Source organism: Homo sapiens, chromosome 9 (assembly GCF_000001405.40).
Source record: "Homo sapiens chromosome 9, GRCh38.p14 Primary Assembly".
Lineage (NCBI taxonomy): Eukaryota > Metazoa > Chordata > Mammalia > Primates > Hominidae > Homo > Homo sapiens.
The window spans coordinates 79,887,887-79,906,565 of NC_000009.12; the positions used below are offsets into that span (position 1 = coordinate 79,887,887).

The 18,679-nt window shown below is 38.7% G+C and overlaps 2 long non-coding RNA genes across 3 annotated transcripts in view; both read left to right on the plus strand.

Annotated features, from left to right (window-relative positions):
- Positions 1–18,679, plus strand: part of LINC01507 (long intergenic non-protein coding RNA 1507) — a 210,026-nt gene that overhangs the window by 63,357 nt on the left and 127,990 nt on the right. The window lies entirely within an intron of this gene.
- LOC105376100 (uncharacterized) lies at positions 36–4,123 on the plus strand. 2 transcript variants are annotated; one of them, XR_929984.3, is made up of 2 exons: positions 36–163; positions 886–4,123. It is a non-coding gene; the product is annotated as an uncharacterized LOC105376100 (long non-coding RNA). The 2 variants fall into 2 exon arrangements; XR_929983.2 differs by having other exon boundaries at positions 36–159.

Here is an 18,679-nt window from a genome sequence, read left to right on the forward strand (position 1 = left end):
GCTTTAGTTCTGTTGCAACTGTTCTAACTGTCATTACTGGTGTACAGAGAAGAGCTTCACTGAGGATCCCTTTCAGGATGCTGTGACTCCCTTTACAATTATATTTCTCACTGCCTTGGTAAAGGGTCTTTTGGACTCTTCTTGGATGTAGTTTAGCGGGTAGGTGAGTGGTTCTTCGATGAGAAATCTACTCTAGCATTTCAATTTCCCTGGGCCCTGTAGACCTTCTGCAACATACCAGTGGAGTTCTGGCATTTCACCTGGATTTAGTCTAGGCCACCACATTTTAGTCAATTAACCAAGCAAACTCTTAGAGCCACTCAAACGGACACATTGAGTCCAGAATCTTGGCTTAACGTTTCTATATCAAGATTTCATCCTTGTCCAATATTATATTCCTTTCCTCCTGATCAGACCCTTAGGATCCATTTCCATGCATGTTCCTCGGGTTTCTGTCTATATAAATTGATAAACTCTTGCAATATTTAGATGTAACTTGCATCCTCTCATGGTTCACACTTTGTAACTCACACTCTGGGGCCTGGTGAGACTTGAATCTGGTTACAAATGTAGAAACAAGAGGCACTGAAGGTTTTCAGGAAGGTTGGCAATCCTTTGCAAGACAATTACCTTGAAAGAAGTTATCACAATCTTTAAGGCAAAGGAATACTAACTTTAATCTTGGAGAAAGGGTTTCCATCTGCAAAAGGGGCTCTGAAGAATTTAGAGATTCATGGTCTCCAGCTTCACTGGAATTTGTCCATATGTCCCCTTTTAATTGTTAGAGAGAGTCTCACTCTTAGTCAGTGTACCAAGTTCAACATGAATTCAATTTGCCTTGTAATCTAGCCACCAGAAAGATCAGACTTTGAATTTGTTTTTCAGAAATCTTGGCCCTATGTCTACAGGAGAAAAAAAGGTACTCATTGAAGCATTCTGCTCCCTTATGCAGACCTTGAGCTGGGAATTCAAAGCCCCGACTTCACTGTTTTCTTTCCCTAAGTTCTCTATTTTACTTGGAAGCAACTAACCAATCCCATTATGTTCCTTATTTCTACCAAAATATTCTAAGGTACCACTACTTGATCCCCCAAACCTCTGCCTTCTATAGGCTGGTGATTCCAGATGCCTGCAGGTGATCAGATATCTAAGTAACCCTCTTGCCACCAAATACCACACACACTTCAGTTACTCTTTCAAAAAAAATTATCAAGCAACTGCTCTGTGCCAGAGACTCTTCTAGTCCTGAAGATACAGTGATAAATAAGATAGAGACAGTTCCTGCTGCCATTCAGCTTGGTTCTAGTGAGAAAGACAGATATATTAAAAAATAACTTGACATTACATTTTCAAGAATTTAAGTACTTTATTGGAAAATATAACTGTGTAAGAAGACAGATATTGACAAGGACACTTAGTTCTTGTAGCGAGGAAGTATAGACTTAACTCTTATTAGTAAAAGAGTGTTTAAGAATAAAAATATATCAATACCCCTAACTTTGGAGACAAACTGAAGTACTGAATGTACTTCTATTTTTGATTTTTCCCTTAGCATGGTGAGTTGTTTGGGAAATGATTCAATAGTTATTTGTAGTTTCTAAATTCTCAGCAGCAGTTGCCTCCTGATATGTGTCACTATATATTCTGAGTTGACATCTGTTATCTGAATCACCAAAATAGTGCCTTGTTTTAAAATTTATCCACTATTGGCTTATGTTTTATCTTACTCTAGGCCATGTTATCACTACATGTGACATCTCTGTATATGTGTTTGTGAAACTGGGATAAAGTTGGCAAAACTTGAGATAGAGGAAACTATCTATGAAACATGTTTTGCATTAGTAGAACAGGAGGCATAAGCACATTTGGAATAGAAAGAACAGAGAAGGCGATACTGGAGAAATAGGATCTCACAAAGGAAAGTAGAATGCACGTAGAGAACTTAAATGCAATTTAGGCAATAACCTATGCAATTTGGACAACTATAGACCTACTATGGCTTATGGTTTCTACCAACTAGACTTAAGCTTCTTTTGGAATAAAGCCTTTGCCTCATGGAGGAAGTCAGTTAATGTTTGTTGATTGTGATTTTGATGATGACATTCATGATGATATTCTATTTGGGGAATGTTTTTCAAAGTGGGGCTTTGACCTGACAAACTGTTATACCGATAGAAAAATCAACATTCTCTCACTGACACCTTAGGTATTTGACAGATATCTGAAAGAAAAATAATTTGATATGACCAAGCAATAGTGAAGTGTAGGATATTGATCTCCAGAGATTTGTGAGACTAAAAATTGTGCAAACGAATAAAAAAAAATCATAGTCTAGATTATCCCAATGTTGAACAATATACTTATGTTTACACATAATGTTGGAAAAGTCATCAGTGCAATTTCTACAATGCACTGATGATAATGATAATGAAATTTTAGTGACAATGTGATAATGAAATTTTAGAAGAAATTATAATTAGTTTTTCATCTCTCTTAAATGGATGTGTTGTTTTTTCTGTCCTCTTCCTTCTCCATTTATGCCTGTTCTGGTTCCTTGTTGACTTGGGGAAATATACATGTGGGTAATAAGGGTGAACATTTCCGCAGAAACAAAGCAGGTCTACTATGCTTCAGCAGGCTTAACTCTCATTTGTTTAATGAGGGTTTGGAAAGATGGGGGGGTTTCCTACATATAGTCAATGCATACTTAAGAACACCTACTATGTGCTGGCTTCATTTTAGTCTCTAGGAACTGGGAGACATATTGAGCCATCTGTATCTACATATATTAAAATTGTTGTACCGAAGAGTATTTCAAGGTCTTCTATCTGTTTTCTTTTGGATAGAAGCAGTCAGTGCAAACCAGCATGGTGAATGAGCTTGATTGTATTTAAGAGAAAAAATTCTCACTTTTGGGGTTTTTGCTACCAATTTTAAGAATGGGGAGCTGTTTTCAGAACTAAAAGTTTGCCAGCGCACTAATAAGATGTAAAATGAAGAAAAATTAAAAAATAGCTCTATGGTTTCAAAGAATGTGGAGCTACTTTGGCTTCATCGGCAGAGTAAGTCTGTTAATAACCCCGAAGCTCTCCCCTTGTTGAAATAACACAAATTAGCGTTTAACCTGGGAGGAAGACACGTGAAGTTATTTAACATTTACATAAAATTATGGAGTAAACTCCAAACAGGTCGCCTCCAAAATGTATAATTACACTCAGCAGTCCTGTCAGCATACATAGAAACAATTTTATTTCCAATCATCTTCTGCTTTTATTCACTCAGGAATGTATCATTAAAATTTCCACAGAACAATGAACCTTAATAGGCGCTAATGCAATTGTGAATTATGGTAATTGTTACCTAAATTAATCTCTGTACTTTCCATTCCTTATTGCCCTGTGCATAAGGAGTGTGAAAAAGATAATGTTGAAACTGACATTTGTATAAATGGTATAAAAATTTATCTTATTTAATAAAAATTTAATATAAGAACTTGCTACTTTGTAAAGTAGTTTACTCAGAAAAAAATGTTAGATTTGTTGCAAGTTGGGTTTATAAAATCTTTAATTTGTGAAATTTGGGAGGGAAACTGGCAGTTGACTCATTATGGTTATCTTTGGGGTATGTGTATGCACCGAGGTATCGGGATGGTACATGTATGTTCCTCCGTGCACATATTGCCAGGGCAGTGTATGCATTCGTACCCTTATCTGTGTGCCTGGCCTCTTTCTGTGTGTTTATGTTTACTCATTTACGTAAACTACCCTCTTGGTGTAATAAAATCCACCATTATGTGTTGAATTGTGTTCCTCTCAAATTCATATGCTGAAGTCTCCTAGTTCTTCAGAATGTGACCATATTTGAAGATAGGACCTTTAAAGAGGTGATTAAGTTAAAATTAGGCCGTATGTTTGGGCTCTAATCCAGTGTGACTGGTGTCCATCTAAGAAGAAATTAGGACAGAGACATAGAGGGAAGACCATTGGAAGACACAGGGATAAGATGGCTGTCTACAAGCCAAGGAGAGAGGCTCCTGAAGAAACCGGCCCTGCCAATACCATCTTGTCAGATATATGGCCTCCAGAACTGTGGGAAAATAAATTTCTGTTGTTTAAGCCACACAGCCTGTAGTACTTTGTTATGGCAGTTCTAACAAACTCATATACTCACCTGGATTGGAAATAAAGAAATACAGGGTTTTGTCTTGTTTCTGTCACTCCTGAATTATATTTGACTTTGGGCATATCACTCAGCCTTCCCATTTGCCGTGTGGTCCAGTTCTTGTATACTTGTTTATTCAAACCACTCAGTTTCATAGTCTTTGCTAACCGCGCCCTGACTTTACTCTGAGAAAACACTCACCCTTCACATTTATTTCTCACAGTTCAGATGGAGCTGATCTTCTGCTCCAGCTCCAGTGGGCATGTTACTCAGGTCTGGCCAATCAATATGTTCCATGCCCACAATGACTGGTTCAAGAATGCACATATGACAGAGCCCTGGACAATGAGATTCCATTTCAGGACTTAATCTGGAACTATTGTGCAGGTAGGATCTCTGTTTGCTGAAGCTGCTAAGGTGAGAGGATGAATGTCTGGGGCTTGCTTCAGCTGTCTTGGAACCACAGAGAAGGGTCAGACCAAGAATGAAGCCAATGCAGAGAAAAGTGAACCACAAGATGGAGAGAGATCAGTACTAAGAACGCTTTGTGAGTCCCCGATCCAGCCTTGCCTGAAGCCAGTGATTCTTGGGGGCCCTGTAGTTTTCATTAATAAGCTAGTGAATCCCTCCACTTTTTCCCCTCAAGGCAGTTTGACTTGCATTCCTCTCATTGCTACCAAAAGAGTCCTGAGTTGTAGAATGGCTGAATGCTGCCTCTTCCTCTGCAAAATGAGTGTATCCTTTATAATTGAAACTATTTTTTTCCCAATTAAATATTACATAGAACACAAATACTGCTGTGTATGTGAGAGGAGGCAGGAGTGAGGGTGGGAAATAAAACCTGACCCCTTTGACATTCCTCTAATCCCCTGGTTCTGTGTGGAAACCTCTGGGTTAGATGATTCAAAGTTTCCTGCCAATCCTTAGAATTATTAAGTTTTCTGTACTTATGAACATTTGTAGCACTCGGTGGGTAGGAATTTCAGGGGCAAAGGGGATAGCAGAGTGAGGAGGAGAAAGCACTAACAGGTAAAGAAAACACAGTCAGAGGCCACACACAGGCATTTTCTCCCCCTAATGCTGGTGAAGTTGCCGAATGACCAGAGGTGAGGGCTGCTTGTAAAGTGCTCTAATATTGGGATACTCTATGTGATTTTTCTATCTGTCTCGGGCAGAGCTCCAGGCTGTCAAGCACATGCTGAATAATTGACTTGAGAACACTTATGGAGAGAGGTGTTCTTGGTCCTCATGGTAGTAACAGAACTTAAAGAGCAGTATCACTGGAGCCCCTAAAAACTTCCACAGATGGGTGAAAAGCCCACCAGGTTCACCTTGAATGTACCATAATTAGTAGTACTTTTATAGAAAAAGTTTTACTGAGCCCCATCTGGGATGAGTTTTGCCATTTATAATAATCTTTAGCACAGTGATTTTTCACCAAATCTGAAGAAAACTTTGAAACATACATGAGCCTTCAATCCCTTGTCTGCTCTCAAATGTGTACATACAGTTTGCAATCAATTTCAAGGATTCTGTCCTTTCAAAGCCATTTTTGTACTGGACCTCAGGCAAAGCGCTCCTGCTCTAGACACATGTGTCACACATGCATTTGCTGATTTGTTTTTTAAGCCACTGGGATCTTTCTAAATCTAAATTCTTTAAATCATAGTTTAAGCAACTCTGCTAATTCATTTTGTCAACTGCCATTACCTTTTTCTTTTATTTTGTGAGTGCTTTGTCTCTGATTTGGTTCACCTCTGAGTATGATCTAAGGAAGAGTTCCTCATTTACTTAACAAATATTTATTGGGAACATGTATGTGCGATATCATGAAAGTGAAGATAGAGGGTCTCAGTTGCCTTGGAACTTCTGGTCCTGTGGGAAAACACAGGACTTAGGTAACGTGAAGTCAGCAGACTCTTATAATGTCAGCTCTATCTCTAGAACAAGGGCATTAGATCGGTGGGACTCAGAGCAGCAGAGGACTGGAGTTTGGAGGGGACTCTCGCACCTAAGACCTACAACTGTTGCAGCTTTGCAGAAATGCTGGAGGCTTCACAGAAAGAGAGACTAAGAAAGACTGAGGACTGTTAAGCATGCCCTATCCTATTATCAAACACTTCACTCCAGGGTAAGTTCAGTGAGGCACTTGACTCTTGAGTGAAAAATTTATGGAGACTCTAAAATCTTTTTGAAAAATAGATATCAAAATGTTGATATTTTGCCCATCATGGAAAAATTAATTTTAATCTTTTAAAAATATTTCATGAAAATGTTATCTCTCCGTCCCTGAGATTTTTGATGCTCCCTTAAATTTTGTGCCTGAAGTGAGTGTCTTGCTCATCTCACCCTAGTCCCAGCCCCACCTCACACTGCAGTGACAAGTCACAGCACATGATTTAGAAATGTTTGCAATTGATCATTTTATAATTTAGCGTATATGGGATGCATATTGTTATAATAAATATTTGGGATTTTGTGTGTGTGCGTGTGTGTGTGTGTGTGTGTTTGTATGTAACTAATTTGACTTCATGAGATCCTTAAAAAATTTACAGTAAGTGTTTGAGGGTCAGCAGATTGAGACACAGAGAGAACATACATGCATCATTTTTGACTCAACATCTCTTAGTTTAGCTTGGAAATCCTGCTGCACAGCACCACATCTGGTTCTGAGGTTTAGCTGTTGTCTACATCTGTCCTATGTGGTCATAAAGAGCTGGTGGAGGCTGGGCATGGTGGTTCATACCTGTAATCTCAGCACTTTGGGAGGCCGAGGTGGGCGGATCACTTGAACTCAGGGGTCAGAGACCAGCCTGGGCAACATGGCGAAAACCTGCCTCTACCAAGAATACAAAAATGAGCTCGGCCTGGTGACCTGTGCCTATAGTCCCAGCTACTCAGGAGGCCTAGGTGGGAGGATCACCTGAGCCTGGGAAGTTGAGGCTACAATGAACCATAATTGTGCCACTGCATTCCAGCCTGGGTGATGGAGTGAGACCCTGTCTGTCTAAAAAAAAAAGAGCCAGTGAAGACTGCTGACTGCATGCCCTGTAGCTACATGCCTTGCCCTGAGGCCACTGTTATCTTCCCACTTCATGATCCTCCATGGGATTGCTCAGCCCCTCACCTCTGGCTTTATGTTGCCCTGATCTCTCCTTACTGTCCCAAGTCCCATATCTCTGTCCTCTTCTGTTCCTAATTTTCTACCTGTTCCCCAGTCTCAATGCCAGACTTTGCTTTGTGTTTCATCCCTGACTCCTCTATTGCTGGTGTATATCCGTCTCCTACGCTATTTCTTTGCCATCTGGAACAAGTTCTAGAAGCCTAATTAACTTGTAAAGTGCGTTCGGTTTGGATGGCACAACCCATCTTTCTTCCCCGTGACTTGAACCTCCTGACCTTTTCTCATAAAACACTCATGTCCTATTTGCTACCCTGTGCTCAGTTGTCATTAGTTTGTGTTGACAGTTTTATTGTTTCCTGGTGACCCCTGTCCATCCACAATTACTATGGTATGTAGCAACCTATTTATTTCAAAGTTAAATGTGTGGTATAAAAATAAAACCAAAAATTCCACATTCTCGGGGGCAAAAATCCCAGGTTTTAAAATATGATTCACATTCATTCATGTATGTATAAATCCTATTATAACTTATTTCACTAAATTAGTGGCGAGGTCTCTTAACCACGTCCAGAGAACAGTTAGTAACTCTTGGCTTTTTAGAACTCCTAGGCTCTTAAAATTGTGCATATGAATAAACAAACATTGAAAGAAAATTTTTTCATGGAAGCCAAAATCAACCAAAAATAGATACATTTCAGCAATTACCACATTTATAGGCTTTAAAATATTGGCCTATTAATGAAGATGATTCATTCTTTCAAAACATCCTGGATTTTGACATAAAATAAGTTTATAGTTATGAGACCTGTGCGACCTCATCATAATGTTGGAATTAAAATAATAGAGAGAAAAATAGTTTGGTATATAGGAGTATGAAGCGAGGTGAGGAGACCAAGGTCTTTGTGTCAGTTGCTGACACTGATTATGGGACCAGCTTGGGTAAGACGTGTACCATGTGGATGCCTCATGCTGGTAAAAGCAAGATGGGGGCTAAAAAGAGTAGCTTCCATCCAGAAATCACTAAAGCCAATGTAAATCAGCATCACATGACTACAGACCTATATTTAAAAAAATGTTTTATCTCTGATTGCATTCCTATGATTAGTTTACATAGTAACGGATCGCTATTTGATTTTAAAAGTTGAAAGGCCAGCACAAAGATGCAGAAAGAAAAAAAAAGTCCTGTGTGTTCCATAGGAGGCCAAGAAGTTTGGTATTTTTCCAGATACACGTAATATTCTTCTATGTATATCTGTACTCGTTAGACTGAGGATCCAGGTTTTATTAATTTCCATATCCTTTTTATAACTCTGTGGGATTCACATCTTTTGGGAGAATGGACTCTGGGAATAACCACATCTATTTGTAAAAGCATGCCCTTGACAGTTTATCTTTGGATTAATTGGTAAGTTTTATGAGTCAAATTGCCCCAGGCTTTTTCCTGAGTTTCTTCAGAGAAGCAATGGGAGGCAAAACTAACATTTTGCTGGTGCTTTGGGATCCTTGGTAAGAAGCTTATGTGAGAAGCACAAAGTATCGCTCTCATTTGGCACTCGTGATTCGAAGGCATATTGATGCAGACACTTGAGTGCTCCAAATGACAAGATAATCCAGATAAACTTTACGCATCTTGCAGCACTTGAAGTTTCTAAAGCCAAATAGAGTGGAAGGATAAAAGACAAACCAAGTTCCTAAGTTAGTTCATATCCTATATGTACTTGATGTCTCTCCTTCATATGAATCCCTGCTGCCAGCAACAAATATTACAGCCAAGCACCTAGAGTTGGCCTATCTCCATGTGGACAATTCTATCACATATATGGGCTATGGATTCCAAAAATGAGACTATCTTCTTATGTAACTTGCTTCATTTTAATTAACATAGTACTGAGTAATTAAATATGCTTTTCTACAATATCAGCTGTAATAGCAAAATAGTTCTCCATTATATGGATGAAATGAAAATATACTTAATCAATCCCCTATATTTACATATTAGGAATCTCCACTGTTGGTGACTTACAATGTGGAAAAAGCTTCAATTTGACCTTTTAAGGTTTCCAAAACTTTCAGTAAAAATGAAACTGACGGGAGACCCAAGAGAGTAGGACTCAGAGCCCTGTGAGGTATTACATATTGTTACATATTGGGTCAGCAGGGCTTGCACCCTACAGAACCTGGGGGAGAACTGGATGCTTGAGTAATAATTTCTGTAAAATCATTATATAAACTGTGGCAAATGCACAAAATATGACATATTAAGGCTCAGAAATGACTATCTTTCAACATAATCTTTCCATGGTCATTTCCTGCCGAAGATATTGGCCTATGTTTAATTATCAGCCATGGTTTATACAGTTTAGTGTGGGGTGCATCTTTCTTTGAAGAGTCTTTTTTTTTTTTTTTTTTTTTTTTTTTTGAGATGGAGTCTCACTCTGTCGCCAGGCTGGAGCGCAGTGGCGTGATCTTGGCTCACTGCAACCACTGCCTCCTGGGTTCAAGCGATTCTCGTGCCTCAGCCTCCCTAGTAGATGGGATTATAGGCACATGCCACCACACTCAGCTAATTTTTGTATTTTTAGTAGACACGGGGTTTCTCCATGTTTGCCAGGGTGGTCTCGATCTCCTGACCTTGTGATCCGCCTGCCTCAGCCTCCCAAAGTGCTGGGATTACAGGCGTGAGCCACAATGCCTAGCCTCTTAGACGAGTCTTAATATGGACTTAAGTATAGTGCAGTTTAAAAAGTGGACAATGGCTTTATAAGTGAATTAATAATTTTAGATGTATTAAGTCTGGTGACTTGTATTGTGTGAGCATAGCTACTTGGAACTACATGTCCCAGGATACTCTTTCCTATTTGGTACCCGGTTAAAGTTGGCCACTAGAAAAATTCACACAAGTTTTGGAAGGCCAAAGCCAAGCCACAGCCATCTTGTTATTTTTGGAAGGTTGGCACAGGATGCCAGGCACGGAGGCAGCTCATGCACACTGTAACTCTTCTGCAAGCTCACCTCGTTGTTGTGGGGCAGCACCCACACCCATCCACCTGCACCTCCCACCAGAGCTACTCCTTCAGGTTCTGTGAACTCTGGGTCCCATATGCGTGTTGCTCCTTAATGAAGGATGCAGCTCGTCCTGCAGATCATCCGTGGCAACACGGTTGGAAGTGGTGCAAAGCAGATGCAAGTTCCAGTGTGATCTCCCATGTTCCAGTTTGTTCTTGCTCTTCTTTTCATCCAGCTTCCTGCCCTACAGCAACCTGGCTGACCTATGGAAATTGCACAGACTGCTTCTTCAGTTCCCACTATTACCTACAGTGTAACCACTACAAGAAATTCCTTATCTGAGACCACTCATACCAGTTCTACTTCTTTGATCAAAAAGTATTCATACACATACAGACAAGCACACACATTGAACCTGAAAGGTAGATGCACATAGCAGCTAGGCCTCCTCAGGCACTGAGGGATAGGATTGGGGTAGAGATTGAAAGACTCTTTAGTATAGGGAGCTTGCGTGTGAGAGATGTATGAGATGTGAAAGATGTGAGAGTGATGACGGGAGTAGCCTCAGGCTTAATGGGGAATGACCCCATGGGCCTGGGAACATGGGACACAATTCCAGACACAAGAGCTCTGGAGAGTTTAACATAGAACCTTACATATGTGCAATTAGTGAACCAAAGTTTATGTACCTGGGGCCCATAGAAAACATAGAAAGTACATATAAGAAAATGTAGAGAAGAGTATGGGACTGGGATGGAAGCATTCTGGAAAGGAGTAGTGGACCTCTGGTAGTTTTGCCTGCCTGGCAAACATCCCTAACCTCCTGACAAGAATACCAGGGTTGTTAATGCATACGGTGATTCTCTGTGAATTTATAAAGGGATGATCCCTCCAGGCAGATGCCCTAGATTGGGGCACCTGGCCTGGAGACTGGAGCAGATCCTAGCTTCATTCACCCATCTGAACATTCTGCTGCTAACTTTGTGCCATGAACATGCTTGACTGTGTGCCATACCTCCCCACACAGTTCATGTGTTTCAGGTGGAGGGGCTCAAGCCCACCTTAGGCACAGGAATGGACATTTGACCGACTCCTGGCTATATTCCCATAGCCGATAATCCCCATGGATGAAGAGAACATCATTTTCCCCAGAGAAACAGAATCTTGGTGGTGTGACTTTGAGGAATGTGTTCACTCCTGAACCTATCTCTATGGTTAGCCATATGATCTCCTATTTAGACATTTGTTTTGTGCTGAACTGTGTCCCCTAAAATTGATATGCTGAAGTCCTAATCTCCAGTATCTCAGAATGTGATGGTATTTGGAGATAGGACAATTAAAGAGATAATTAAGGTAAAATGAGGCCTTATAAGTGGGCCCTGATGCAATATGACCACTTTCTGTATAGGAGATTAGGACACAGATGTATACCGAGGGAAGGCCAAGTAAAAAGGAAGGAGAAGGGCCATCCACAAGCCAAGAAGAGGGGTTCCAATGAAATGAACCCTGCTGACACCTTGTTCTCAGACTTCCAGGCCCCAGAATTGTGAGAAAATAAATTTTTGTTCATTAAGTTACCCAGTCTCTGGTACTTTGTTAAGTCAGCCCTACCAAACTTATACAGCATTGTTAGCTCTTACTAAGTGGCTCCATTTTTATAAAAAGATATCAAACTAATCTGTATTGTCTGCCTAGATACTTGCCTATTTAAAAAGTGACATAAACTAGCCCCATAATGAGCACCCTTTTAGCTTCAGGCCCACCCACCATTTAGCAAAAATCAAGCTGAAACAACCTTTATGAAGGGAAGTTTGGTTAAAGTGTATTTGTTTCATCAATTCCATCAGCTATTTGAAAGCTTACCTCTCTACCAAGCTCAATCATGAAGCTGAATCCCTCAGCTTTCAAGTGTTATTTCGGCATTAGCTTATCTATAACAAATTGCTCTTTGTTGAGGTGTCCTCGGCATTGAGCAAAGAACATTCTAGAAGAACCTCAAGAAGCCCATTTCTGTGTCTCCTGAAAGGTAACTACTAAGACCATTGCATGGGATTTTTGCCAGGAGGGCCCTGGGGAGAAATTTCTAACTCAAGTACCAAGAATATCTGCTCTTCTCATGATCAATTAATCCAGAGATTCACATAGTTTTTATTCTTGCAAGGATAGCTAGAAAGTTGGGTAATGGTTCTTAAACTTAAAACTTAATGTGCAGAAGAATCACCTGAGGAGCTAATTCTGAAACTCTTCTGGAGAGTGGGGAAAATGTAATACAGTACCCAATTTGGTCTGATGAAAACATTGAAGCTGTTTCTTTAGGTCGTGTTGCACTCCTATTAGGTAGAATTACTTAGGTTCTGTCTCTCCTTATTTTGCTTTCCAGGATGGCACCTGGGTATATGAGGTGTCTCCATGTTAGTGGGTTGGAGGGGTCCCTGTCCTTTTCTGGCTCTCGAGTGTTCTCTACCATGCCTCCCACCCAGCCCTCGGACCAGTCTGCTCAGTTCCACCTTCCCCTGTGGTGTCATCTTGCCCAGGACAGCAGGCTCCATGTGAGGGTGGCTGACTCTCAACTCAGATACCCACAACCCACGGGCCTTCAGGGAGAAGGAGTTGTTTTAACCCAGATCACCCTCTGTTTAGCCACTGGGTTGCTTTCTTAGTTGGGCTGAGTGTCTTTATGTTGGTGTGAGGCCTTCCTCATAGTCATCTCCTCCTTCAATCCCAAATGGAGAAGAAGGGGCAAGAGCCACCTTTCTTTGAGATTTCTTTGCTTATTCAGCACAAATCACCCTCTGGGCAAAAGTCTGAGGAGAAAATCAGGAGACCCAAGACTGAACATTTGAATCTTCATTTCTTTCTTCCCTTTCTGCTCTCTGTAATTCCCCAAGCCAGAAATGGGTAATCTTTTATTTTTCTTTACCTGCATCTTGTTTTCCTACAGTTGAGCAAGAGCTTTCCTGCCATTGCCTTCTTGGGGGGAAATAAAATTTTCTTAGCTCTAAGAAGAACTCAATGGCCGTGGGTCCTTCAGGATTGGCTGTTGATGTCCTAAAAGAGTAAATAAAAGCACTTGGGAAATCCTTTCTCTCTAAAAAATGCATGGCTCTTAAGCTTATTGACTTTCTGTTATATCCTATTTCATATGTCAGATGCTGAATATTACGTCAGTCTTTATTTTTATTTTTCTTTCCCCAACACATCTCCCCAAGCGTATGGATGCTCTAGGACATGTACTTGGAAATGCAAAACAAATAAAGTGCATTAATAATTTAAAATACTGTCTCCGATATATGCTTCTATATTATAAATAATAATAAAAGATAGATATCAGAAAAGAGAAAAAATTGTTTTGAAGGAAAGGAGGAAGAATAAATAATAAACTCCAAGAGCTCTTTTTTTTTTTTCAATCCTGGTGAGAGAGAGCAGTTCTAAAGGCATAGATACTGAGAAAGAAGAGATGGGGTCTGGGCCATATTTCAGGGCCCCTAATTTGGAGCATCTATTGGTAGACAAAAATTACTTTGAAAATTAGATGTGGGGCTAGTTGTCCTTGATCTGATAAAGGATTAAAGGGTTAAGCTGAAGTATTTCTAAGAGCATTGGGACGATGGCAAGTAATCCAAATTTTCTTTGCTTCAATTTTTTTCTTTACTTTTATGAAGCTGATCAAACCATTCTCTTATCTGTCTTGCTGACCTCAAAGGAATGTGATGGAAAAAAAAATTGAAGAATAGAGCTCCCTTTAGAATAAGGTTGAGTTATTAGGTTTATTACATCTTTATTGTTACACATCAAGAATGGGCAGCTTTCTTATTCTATATCTTTAATAATGGAATTGTTGCAAACTGGTGGGCAGTTAAAGACTTTCAAAAGCAGCATGTCTTCCTCTTTCATTTCACATTGCCTTATTTCTTGTTTTGATAGAGATTGAGATGAAAGGAGGACTTAGAAATGTGCAGTCATTAGACATGGCAGTGGAATAGCCCAGGTGTGTGTCAGGTGACAGATGATTCCATAGCAAGAGACAGTAAAGTACTTTATGGTTAAAGAGTAGCAGGAAAGATTGTGAAGCAGGAAGGGTGCTATTATGAGTTTTATTATTTAGGTTTGTTTAGCAAGTATATGTAGATACAAAATCCTTGAAGATTTTGAATACTTCATAATTGGTTTAATTAGGAGCCTCCTTATTTCCCTGTTTTTCCAAAGAATCTCTGTTTAGACAAAAGGTGGTTACCAGCTTTATATGTCATCTTTACCACAATCGTAAGATGTACTTTTTGTTCCTTTTGCAACCCACACACTGATGTAGCACACTGCTTAGCTTTCCATATTTCTTCTCTAAATCTTATCCCTTTTTTCCACTGTTTTTGTAGCAATAGGGACATGCCATCACTTTTTTTTTTTTCAGTTGAAAAATACTGTAATAAAGGTAGGCCGTGAATATATTCTGGTGGCATGATTTGTAAATGAGAAATGTTTTTAAAGATGCCTTTCTTGATGAATCCATTAGTGGTGTCTTGGTTTAAAAAAAAAATTGATGCCAGGGTGGAGTCTCCTTTTCTCCTAAGCACCTCTGATCCCAGTGTACAAATAATGTTTATATTCCAGTTCACAGAAAAAAAAAGGAACGTGAAAATATTTCATTGAAAGCTGACAGCTTTAACGAACTTTAAAGGTTAACCCTGGTGCTAGTTAGCATATCTATTCATGTCTCCATCAGTCTATTGAATTACTCAGCTGAACATGCACACAAAAGCAAAACTGGAAAAAAAAAATACCCAGAAAGCCAACATTAATAATTCATAAATACTGGAGGCTTGTGACTGACAATTTTCCCCCTACTGTGTTGAAGTCTGTTAAGAACTGAATCCTGATAGCTCCTAAGTTACTTTAGAAACTCAGTGAGCAACCCTGTCCAGGAATGTTAATGTTTCTGTAAGTGGTTAGCTACCGAAACACATTGTGGGTTTTCATCCCCTCAAGCACTTGTTCATGTTCCTTTGGATTAGTATAAGGTATGGCTTTTCATGAGATGTTTAACTGACGGTTTTTATATTTGAATTTCACAAGCATCTGCAGACCATAAAGAACTCCAAATTCAGCCATAATCCTCTGTTACAAAGTAAATCGGCATTTTTGAACAGATTCCAGATACCAATTATCGCATTAATGAGGATATACAATCACGTTGTCTGCTTGGGCAGGATTAGAAGTGATGCTGCTCCTGACAGGCCTGGCCTGCCTTGGAATTCATAGTCCTTCTCCCTCCATGTACATGAAATTATATTTATTAAATCTTTCCATTAAAAATAGAAGTTATCAACATTTTTTATATATTAACTATTTTCCAGGGGATATAAGGGACAAATACTTGTTGCCTGACGATAAATTGATTTCAAGCTCTTATATAGGAAGAATGCAAATTCAGGCTTTATGTTATTAGAAACATTTAACGAAGTGCTCCCATAGAGGACTGAGGAGATGGGAACTGCATAGGTTCTCCAGTTGGTACTGATTGCTTTTCTCTACTGGGTTTGCTTCAGAAGGGGTTCCAAGGCGGTGGGCCGATATTTCTACCATTTGTCAATGATGAAGCTTCCTTTTACATTTTGCATTTTAGGATTTTTAATTGTTGTGCCATCTTTGGGAAAAAGCAATGGAAGTGTGTGGATGCAGAGTTTTCTCAGACTATTTTGATATGAGGCTATTGGTTAGCTCTCACTAGCCTGCTTCTAAAGGTGAAATGATGGTGACGTTCCAATTTTAAAAACCCTTGCTTGGCTTCCTAAATTGCAGTGCTAGAAATTGGTTTATATTAGGGATAGCTAGAGAAATAACTCAATCTCTGGCCCTGTTAGCAAAAAGTCTGTTTTTGCTTCCTTTAAGTTGCTGTTAATAACAATCAGAAAACTATTACATTAAATCAGGTCCTTCCTCATTAAAGTCTTAGCCCATGAACTGTCACTAAGGGATGTAAGTTTCAAGATTTGCAAGTTGTGGAGTAGATACTCAAAAATAAATGATTGATTCCATATGATTGCTTAATACAGAAGGCATTGACTTTTGTATTGAGCAATAAGTGAAGTCCAAAACATCTGTTGAGTACCTTTCCCGTATGGGGAGCTTCACCTGGTATGGTGACTGTATCAGTCATTTATGATAGATGTAAGTTTGAAATCCTGCACTGCTGATTAATAACTGTGTAAGTTTGAGCCTTTGTTTACTGGTCTGCAAATTGGGGATAATAATATTTACCAAAGAGGGTTGTACTGTGGATTAAATAAGATAATTTAGATGGAATACCTAGCAAAATTATTAGTAAATGCTGTTTTCCTTTCCTTCATATGAGAATCAGAACAATCTTTTGAAGAATCAAAACAATCTTTTTGTGCGTGCGTGTGTGTGTGTGTGTGTGCCTTTATTGTAATCCTGTGAGGTAGAAAAGGCAGATGTTAATGAAGAAATCGAGGCACAATCAAGTTATGTGGTTGGCTTGTTTAATTCAAAATTGGAATTTCAGCCTATTGATTTTTCCTTATACTGCTTCTATGAGTATATACTGCCTTTTTGTACCATTCTGTATCAAAGTCCAAATTAAATAATAATTACATCACTCCTAATTGTTTCAATCAATATTTGTCATTATACTAAGGTTATAGGTTATTTCTCCTTTGCTCAACACACATTCTTTAAAAAAATCTATTTGCCTATTTTTTCCCTTTGAGGATTTGAGGCAGCTTATAACATAGCAAACCAAAATGAGAGTGACAAAGAAGATATAAAATATCAGGATCAAATAAAAAGGAGATCATAATTATCCACATCATAAGGCTTAAACCTTGTTGCCACAGCTGGCTTTCAAATTTGGCTTTAAGCCATTATATAATTCCTTGAGGGCAGTGAGTGATGTAATAAAAACTGACCTCAATCACATTTTTATAACTGATAAAATACTAAATTTCATATGGCTTGACTATATGATGACATTTGATAAAAGCTAAAGGTAAACATTACACTCTTAGGGATAACCCTAATGTGTACAAAAATGTAACTTTCTGGCAGTTCAGCTCACTTCATCTCAGTATCTAGAGATGCTTGAGATCCCTGTGGATTGCATGAGTACTTTTTTGAAATGTTTTCTCTATGTTACAGTTATTTTGCAAAAGTACCATTAAATTTTCCTCCCAAATTTATGAAATGTATGTGAAAAAATACAAAACAACATATTTTATAATCTTTCTCTTTACTCTTTTCTCTTCTCTGTTAATGTAATAACCTATATTAACAGCTCATGTGTATTAGTCCATTCCAGAGTAGAGAGTGCTAAAAAGGCAGATACAATACTTCAAAAAATCCTTTTAAATGTATTTGAAAGTTGTGTGTCTGAGCTAGGGTTAAAATATAAGAAATAACTGGAGTTCAGAATCAGTCAGAAAAAAAATGGAGGTAAGAATGAGCTGAAGATTGTTTTTTGCCTTGAGGGCGTGTGCTGAACCCTGCAAACTAGACTGATTTTAAAGGTCCTTATGTAAGGGATAGGAGACAGAGTCTATAATCCAAAGAAAATGGGATGGCAGATCACTCCTCTCACACCCCCATCCCCAACACACATACATATAAAGCTGAAGTCCACTTTTATTTGGCACTTTGAGAAAAAAAAACCACAAAACATTGTCTACTTGCCTGTTTGGGATTTGGCAAGAAAAATGAAGTCTTCTCAGATTATTTGAAAAAAAGGCATAATCACCAATATGGCCAGAAGAGCACATCAGATTAGATAAATTTCAGGTTGTTAATGCTATTAGGTCCATGCCAGAAAACAAACAAACAAACAAATTGCTATCTGAAGTGATGCATGTTAAACACTAGGTTAAGGAATTCTCATAGATGAACTTTCAAGGAACATGAGTTCATAATCAAAATTCACTAATAACATGAAGAAACAAGTGACTCTGAGTTTCAGCAGAAATGACATAAGATACAATCAGACCAGCAAATACTATATAGATACTGGAATTATTTGAGAGTAAACATTCAAATGTGCTTATTTTTTAAAGGAATAAAAATGGAAGGAAAGTGTAATTAAGGAACCAGAAATCAAAAAAGCTACTCTGAGTAGGCAAATAAGAAACAGAACCAAGTAAGATTTCTAAAAATAAAAAATGGACTCATTATAATTGGAAACACAATGGATAGTTTAAACAGTACATTAGACACAGCTGACATGAAAATTAGTGAACTGAAAGAAATCTAAACAATATTACCAAGAGTGTAAACCAGAAAGAGCAAGAGATGGGAATTGTGAAATAGAGTTTTAGACATTGAGGATAGGTAAGAAATTCTGACACGTATCTAATCTGATTGACAGAGCAAGAGAATAGACTGAAT